The sequence below is a fragment of the Homo sapiens genome, chromosome 8 (genome assembly GCF_000001405.40).
Source record: "Homo sapiens chromosome 8, GRCh38.p14 Primary Assembly".
Classification (NCBI taxonomy): Eukaryota; Metazoa; Chordata; class Mammalia; order Primates; family Hominidae; genus Homo; species Homo sapiens.
This window is the reverse complement of record NC_000008.11, coordinates 43,511,247-43,519,536: the sequence shown is the minus strand read 5'-3', so window position 1 is coordinate 43,519,536 and position 8,290 is coordinate 43,511,247. Positions and strand designations below refer to the sequence as shown.

Below are 8,290 nucleotides of genomic sequence, written 5' to 3'. Positions count from 1 at the left end.
CTCTGTCTCTACAGCAGGCTACTCTGCTTCCTACTACCCTTCACCCTCCCACCACCCTACTGAAAACCTACTTTTCCCCACCCTACCCACCCCTTTTTCCTTGCACCCCCACCCCCCTCCCTTCCATTATTATATCACCTCCCACCAGGCCCTACCTCAAGCATTTGAGATTTCAATTCCACATGAGTTGTGGTAGGGACAAATACCCTAACCGTATTATTCTGACCTCGACCCTTCTGAATCTCATGTCCTTCTCACAGAGCAAAATACAATCATTTCTTTTCAAAAGTTTCCAAAAATCTTAACTGATTTCAGCATTAATTCAAATGTAAAAAGTTCATTGTCTCATATAAGATAAGGCTGCAAATGAGTCCCTGAATTTAAAAAGGAGTTCTTTTCTTCCAAGGTACAATGATGGTACAGGTATTGGGTAAGCTTTCTCAATCCAAAGGGAAGAAATTTCCCAGGAAAATAACACAAATGGGACCACAGGCCCAATGCAAGCCCAAAATCCAGCCAGCCACTATTCATTCAATCTTACAGCTCCAAAATCATCATGAGAATCACTATCATGAGGACAGCATGAAGGAGATGGTGTTTAACCATTTGTGAAGGATTCACACCACCCCGACCTTTCCCTCCCCCACCACCATAATCCCTGCCATTCTCCCAACCACCTCCCAACTTCCAACCCCCACTCTCATCCATGATTACATCACCTTCCACCAGGCCCCACTTTTAACATTCCCGATGACAATTCCATATGAGTTTTGGTAGGGACACAGAGCAAAATCATATTATTTTGCCCTGGCCCCCAATATCTCGTGTCCTCCTCACATTGCACAATACAATGTTGCCTTCCCTACAGTCCTCCAAATCTTAACCCTTTCCAGCATTTACATAATTGTTTATAGCTTAAAATCTCATCTGACACAGGCTACACTCCCTTCTGCCCATGAGCCTCTGAAATATAAAGCAAGTTATCTACTTCCAAGGTACAATGGTTGCACAGGCAATGGGTAAGCATTCCCAGCCAAAAGGAAGAATTTTGCCAGAAAGAACAAAAGCAGATGAGACTTACAGGCCTCATGAAATTCCAGAACACAGCAGTCAAGTCTTTCAATCCTACAGCTCCAAAATCATCCTTTTTGCTTCACTGTCCCAAATCCAGAGCACAGGGGTGTGAGGGCTGGGCTCCCAAGGCCTTGGGCAGACCTGCACCTGTGTCTTTGCACTGTTTAGTGACCATGGCTGCTCTCATGGGCTAGGCTGGTGTTGAGTGCCTGTAGCTTTTCCCCTCTAAGGGTACAAGCTGTTGGGGGTGTATGAATCTGAGGTTTTGAGAGTGGTGGCCTCCAGTGTGGAGGCTCCAACCCCATATTTTCCTTCTGCACTGCCCTAGTAGAGGTTTTCCATGAGGCTCTCCTCCTTTGGCAGTCTTCTGCCTGGACACCCAGGCATTTCCATACATCTTCCAAAATCTATACAAAGGCTCCAAAGCCTCTTGTCTCATGCTCTACACACCCGCTGGCTGAACACTATGTGGAAGCCACCAAAGCTTATAGCTTGCAGGCCCCAAAGCTGTGACCCAAGCTGTACATGTGCATCTTTCAGCCATTGCTAGAGCTGGAGCTGGCACTGCAGGGATGCAGGCAGCAGTGTCCTGAGGCTGCACACAGCAGTGAGGCCATGTGGCTGTTTCAGGAAACCATTATTCTTTCACAGTCCTCAGGGCCAGTGACAGCAAGGGCTGCTACAAAGGTCTCTGAAATGCCTTCAAGGCCATTTCCCCATTGCCTTGGCTATTAGCACTGGACTCCATTTTACGTAAATTTCTACAGCCTTCTTGGATTTTCCCTCTGAAAATCAGCTTTCGTTTTTGACCACTTAAGGAGGCTGCAGATTTTTCTAACTTTGAAGCTCTGCTTCTTATTTAAGTATAATTTCCAACTTGAAGTCATTTCTTTGATCACACCTAAGAGCACAGGCTGTTCAATGCAGACAGGATACCTCTTGAGCTTTGCTGCTTAGAAGGTCATTCTGCTAGTTACACCCCAAATGATCACCAGCAAGTTCAAACTTTCACCAATCTCCAGGGCAGGTTCACCTAGCAGACACCTTCTTTGCTAAGGCAAAACAAAAGTGACCTTGGCTCCTGTTCCCAGTAAGCTTTTCATATTCATCTGAGACTTTCAAAGTCTGGCCTTCACTATCCACGCTTCTGTCAGCCTTCTGAACATGACTAGTAAAATGCTCTACAGTGGTCCAAACTTTTCCTCATCTTCCTGTCTTCTAAACTCTCCAAATTCTCCCAACCTCTGTTCATTACCCACTTCTGAGCCTGCTTCTACATTCCAGCTTTGTCACAGCCTGGGAATGTCGTAAAAGAAGAAACATCCATTTTCAGGGGGAAAATTCAACCAGGCTTCAGATATTTGCATGAAAACAAGCTGACTGCTGATTGCCAAGAAAATGGAGAAAAGTCCTTGAAGTCATTTCCTAGGTCCACTTCAAGGTACTATATTTTCTGTATGATCATAAAGAAAAGAGGTTTAATTGGCTCATGGTTCTGCAAGCTGTAAAGGATGCATAGTGGCTTCTACTTCTGGAGGGAATCAGGAAACCTCCCAATCATACCAAAAGGTCAAGGGGCAAGGAGATGTGTCACATGGCAGGAAAAGGAGCAAGACAGAGAGAGGAAAGTGGTGCCACACCCTGTAATCCAACCAGATCTCATGAGAACTCTATATCATGAGGACAGCATCAAGAAGATGATGCTTACCCATTAGTAAAGGATCCATCCTCCACCCTCACCCACCATGGTTTCTAGGCAGAAGCCTGTTGCAGAAGCAGAGCCTCTTGGAAAACCTCTGCTAGGGCAGTGCGGAAGGAAAATAGTGGGCTTTGAGCTTCCACAAAGGGGATCAGCATCCTCTAGATTCCAGATTCATATACCCACCAACAGCTTGCACCCTCAGTCTGGAAAAGCTACAGGCACTCAACAGCAACCCCGTCCATGAGAGCAGCCATGGAGGCTAAACCCTGCAAAACCACAGGTGCAACGCCCTAATAGAGGTTTTCCATGAGGCTCTGCCTCTACAGCAGGCTACTCCCCCTTCCTACTACCCTCCACACTCCCACCACCCTACTGCCAACCTACTTCTCCCCATCCTACCCACCCCTTTTTTCTTCCACTCTCACCCACCTCCTGTTCATGATCAAATCATTCTCACCAGGCCCTCATTTTTCTGTCATCCTCTAAGCCCTCCAAACTCTCCCATTCTTTGTTACCCACTTCTGAACGTGCTTCTACATTTTCAGGTATCTCTGTAACAGCTTGACTATGTAGCAATAACACAAAACCCCATTTAAGGGGAAAAATTCAAGAAGTCTTCAGAAATTTGCACATAAAGAAGCCCAGTGCTGATAGCCAAGTCAAAGGGGAAAAGGCCTTGAAGACATTTCACAGCTCCCCTCTGCAGTACCAAATTTCTGTATTATCATAAATAATAGAGGTTTAATTTAATGAGTGTTCTGCAGGCTGTAAAGGAAGCATTGTGTCTTCTGTTTCTGGGAAGAGTCAGAGAGCTTCCCAATCACACCAGACAGCTTAGGGACAATGAGATGTCTCCTACAACAAGAGTGGGAGCAAGGCAGAGCAAGAAAAGAGGTTCCACCCCCTTTTAAACAACCAGATCTCATGAGAACTCACTATCAGGAGGACAGCATTAAGGGCATGTTGCTTTACCATTCATGAAGGATCCACCCTCACCCTTTTATGATTAAATCTTTTTCTACCTAGGCCCCACCTCTAACATTAGGGAGTATGAGTTCTGGTAGGGAAGTAGAGATAAACCATATTATTCTGTCCCTCCCACGAATTTAATGTCCTTCTCATATTGCAAAAACAATCATCCCTTGCCAACAGTCTCCCAAATTCTTAACTCATTCCACCATTAACTCAAAGTTAGAAAGTGCAAAGTACCATCTGAGCCAAGGCTACAGTCTCTTTTGCCTATGAGGTGCTGAAATAGAAAGCAAGTTCACTGCTTCTAAGGTACAATAGTGGTACAGGCATTGTGTAAGATTTCCGTATCCAAAAGGAAGACATTTTCTTGAAGTCTTCTTATTTCAATCTGAGACCTTTCTCAGCCTGGCCTTCACTGTCCATGTTTCTGTCAGCATTTTGGTCACAACCATTTAAACAGTCTCTAAGATGGTCCAGAAATTTTCCCATCTATCTGTCTTCACTTGAGCCATCTCAAATCTTCCAACCTCTGCCCATTACTTACTTCCAAAGCTACTTCCACACTTTCAGGTATCTTCATAGCAATCGTTCAATCCTCATTTGCCATTTTCTGTGTGCTTTATTTTGAAACAGAGGTTTAACTGACCCTTGATTCAGCAGTGTACAGGAAGCACAGTGGCTTTTGCTTCTGGGAGGCCTCAGAAATCTTTCAATCATTGTGGAAGACAAAGACTGAATTTTCTCACATGGCAAGAGGAAAACATGGAAAGTAAGGAGGTGGCATAGAGTTTTCAATGACCAGATCTCACAAGAAGTCACTCATGATTACAAGGAGAGTAGCAAAGTGATGGTGCTAAACCATTCATGAGAAATTTGTTTTCATAATTCAATCACCTCATACCAGCTTCCACCTTCAACATTAGGAAACATAATTCAACATGAAATTTGGTGGGGACACATATTTGAATCATATCATCAATCTTTCAGTATAAAACCATCTACAGCAGGCTTTATCCAGCCAGCTTCTTTGAGACTTTTCATAAATATAAGGTCTACAGCATATACACTAAAATATTCATACTTCAAAAAGCAATGAAGTAAATGGTATTATCATTCTTCCAAAAGTTACAAAGGTAGTGTAAGCATTTGTAGTATGATTTAGTTTGGTGCTGTTTCTATTCTATCACCATATTAACTGCTTCCTGCACAAGTCAATATTCAGCTGGGTTTTAGTCTAACACAAAACAATACTTGTACTACCACAATAGCTGGCACTGGCTCTTTGATAGTGTTATTATTCTGCTGTAGAAGGTATCCTTGAACTGGAAAAAGTCCGCAGTTGAATATCTAGTCATTCAACACTCTCAATTCCTGGGTGACTTTTTGGAAAAATAGTATCTCTTGTTGCAAGAAATACTGCATTTGTGATTTCAAGTTTCTCAATTTAGTTGGATGGAAGTGGTGAATTTCAGCCAAAGTGGCCAAATAAATCCTGTTACCGTGATCCTGATGTCATCAGCCTCTGCACTTCTGCTTCCTTTCTGCCACATGTTGCCTGCTTTCCATGACTTTGGCAAGAGCTTCCTTGGGTACATGGATGATGTCCAGGACGTTGGACTGGTGTCCCTGAGACAACAATAACAGGTGCATCATGGGGTCCAGGCCTTGTTGGGACAGATTGGCAGAGAGCTCACTGATGGTGTTGCTGGCACCTCTGGTGAAGTGGATGGCCTGGTCCAGCTCCAAGGCCTGGCTGAGGCTGAAGAAAAACTGCCTGCCTTCTGATGCTCCTTCTTAAAGCCTGCCACCATCATCTGCTTGCATGTCAACTCATTGGCTGTGAAGTTGAGTTGAGTGCCCTGTTGTCCATCTTCTTGGTGTAGCATTCGATTCCTAAAGGTTGAAGGCTACCATGGGGGTGGACTCAGGGTCATTTGGAAGCTGGCACTCACCATCTCACCCTTCTCAGCCTTTATATTGTCCTGTTTCCAGGCTGTCTCTTCAGTGCTGGTGGGGCACATATCAGGAAGTGATGGAAGATGTGGCACTGTGCCTGCACCCAGAAGCTGGCATGTGGTTCATCCACCAGATTGGGCCCTTTCTGCATCTGGACATAAAGTCCTCCTCAAAATGACCTGTGGTCTGCCTCTTGGCACCCAAGAAGCCCTCAGTGCTGTGTGAGAACTGATACATGGACTGGAGCCCCAAAGGCAGCACACAGCCTGCTCCTGAGCCTGCTGCTCATTTCCTCCATGTGGCTCCATTTGCAGCACAGTTGTTGCACTGAGGCCTGTGCATGCCAGCAAGGCCAAACTGGCTCAAAGAGCAAGCGGCCACCTCCACAAAGGTGTGCCAGGAGCAGGTGGACCAGTCACCAACCTCACACGCTGCCAATCTAGATATATCAGTTCCTCTACCCTGGAGGTAGGGCCCAGTGCCATCTGCTTTCCTCAGGCCTCTACTCCATCAGCTGTTATGTAGTGGCCACTCAGGCTGTGGGAACCTGGCTATCCCTGCTTCCTTGAGTGGGTGAGGTTGGTGGCTGGTCCACCTGCTCCTGGGACACCCTTATAGAGGTGGCTGATTGCTCTTTGAGCCAGGTTGGTCTTGCCTGGCATGCACAGACCCCAAGTACCGACATGCTGCTCCGAGTGATATTGTCCTGTCTTGGGCCAAATTCTAAGTCTGGCCAGGGCTACAGAATACTGAGTCCCGTGTGTGGTAATCCTGGCTGCTGCTGGTGGCCCACGGTACCCCTCCCCTCCTAGGGCTCAGGATGAGGCCTGAGACAGGATGCTTCATGTATGAGACTCGTGCTCTTGGAGGGGGCCTCTGTCCCACATGTTAGGTGAGATGTATGGCATGCTGCTGGCTGTCAGCGTTGCCAGTATGCCACATTCACCCATCCCTCCAGGGACCTCAAAGTGACCAGCTTCCCCTTTGAGAATTACTTCCCAAGGTCCAGGAGCCATCTGGGGCTGCACAGCAGCTGGCTGCAAGCTGCCCTGGCTTCTTCCATGTTGTGATCGTCACTACCCACCAAGGGGAATCAGATGCAGGCACCATGTAGGGGGATTGTCTCTGGACCTGCGTCTTTGTTATCATGGAGCCACACTAGGCCTGGTGTCAGGCAGGGTTGTCCTGGATGGTCCTGGGGGTGTCCAGAGAAGATGCAGAATGGAATTGCTGTTAGGATGAATGAGATGACTGTCAGCACAGAACAGGCACCCAGTGAGTGCTCAGGGATTACTCTCAGTAACTGTCTGGAGGGAAAAACCACTCACCTGGTAGCAACTGTTCCAAAGCCAGGAGGAAGGGAAGAGGGCAGGTTCCATTCACTTGAGTCTGATCGGTAAGCTATGCTGAGTGATCACCTAGAAAATGGTCCCACACTCAGAGCCACTCAAGGACACTGCCATGTGTCTCTAACTGCTCCACAACACAGAGGCACTGGGGGCTCAGCAATGATGACATCGTGGGGCAACATAACCCATCACAATGGGAGCCTGCTTGGATAAACAGGGCACAGAGTCAGTATCCCTTATCCCCTGAACTGAGATGTGTGTGTGCAACGTGTTTGTGCATGTGTGTGTGTGTTTTTGTGTGCATGTGTGTGTTTGTGTTGCTTCTATGGCTAGGCCTAGGTGCTCCACTCACAGGTGCACCCAGGTCCTCATCACTGTCACCACCAGGGCCTGGGGCCAGCATTAGTGTCTCCACAGGAGCTCCCCAATCTCTGTCCTCCCCACCCAGGGTGGTCATGGGGATGCAGAGGAGGGGCACTGGGTACAGCAGAGGGCTGGCACCCTCCCTAGGTGGAATCTAGGTCGTGTGTAAAGTGCTAGGTCTGCCCAGCAATGCTGGATTCAATACAACTTCTCAGATCCTCTTCCCAGTAGCCCTCCAGGGTGACCTGACTCACCTACCCTACAGGTGGAGGCAAGGAGGTTCCTCAGACAAACCCCCTGCCTGAGGTCACACAGCGGCCAGCTGGCCAGGTTCCCACTAGCCAGGTTCCTAATGTCCACTCTTCCATTTACCAGGTCCCCATTGACCAAGTACCCACTGGCCATCTCTCCCGAACTAGGCCCCCATTAATAGGCCCCATGGACCAGACTCCACTGACCAATTTTCCTCTGACCAGGCCCCCACTGAGAAGACCACAATTTACCTGGTTGCTGCTCACCCGAATCCCACTAAACAATTCTCCATGAATTAGTCCCTAGCTGGCTAGGCCCCCCTGACTAGGCTCCCACTGACCAGGTCCCAGCCCATTAAGGCCCCAACTGACCAGACCCCAAGTATACAGATCCCACCAACTACTTTTTCCTTGTTTATGTTCCAACTGACCAGGCCCCACTAATAAGGCCACCACTGACCAGGTCACCACTAACCAGTCTTCCAATGACTAGGTCTTCAGGTCCCCATTGATGAGGCCTTCACTGAGGAGGCCACCACTAACGAGGTCCCTGATCCTGCCCCAACTGGCCAGGTCCTGATGACCAGGTCATCACTGACCATGGGCCACTGACCAGGCCCCTG

General features: G+C 47.6%; 1 pseudogene; it reads right to left on the bottom strand.

Annotated features, from left to right (window-relative positions):
* Window positions 5,116-5,894, bottom strand: SNX18P27 (sorting nexin 18 pseudogene 27; annotated as a pseudogene).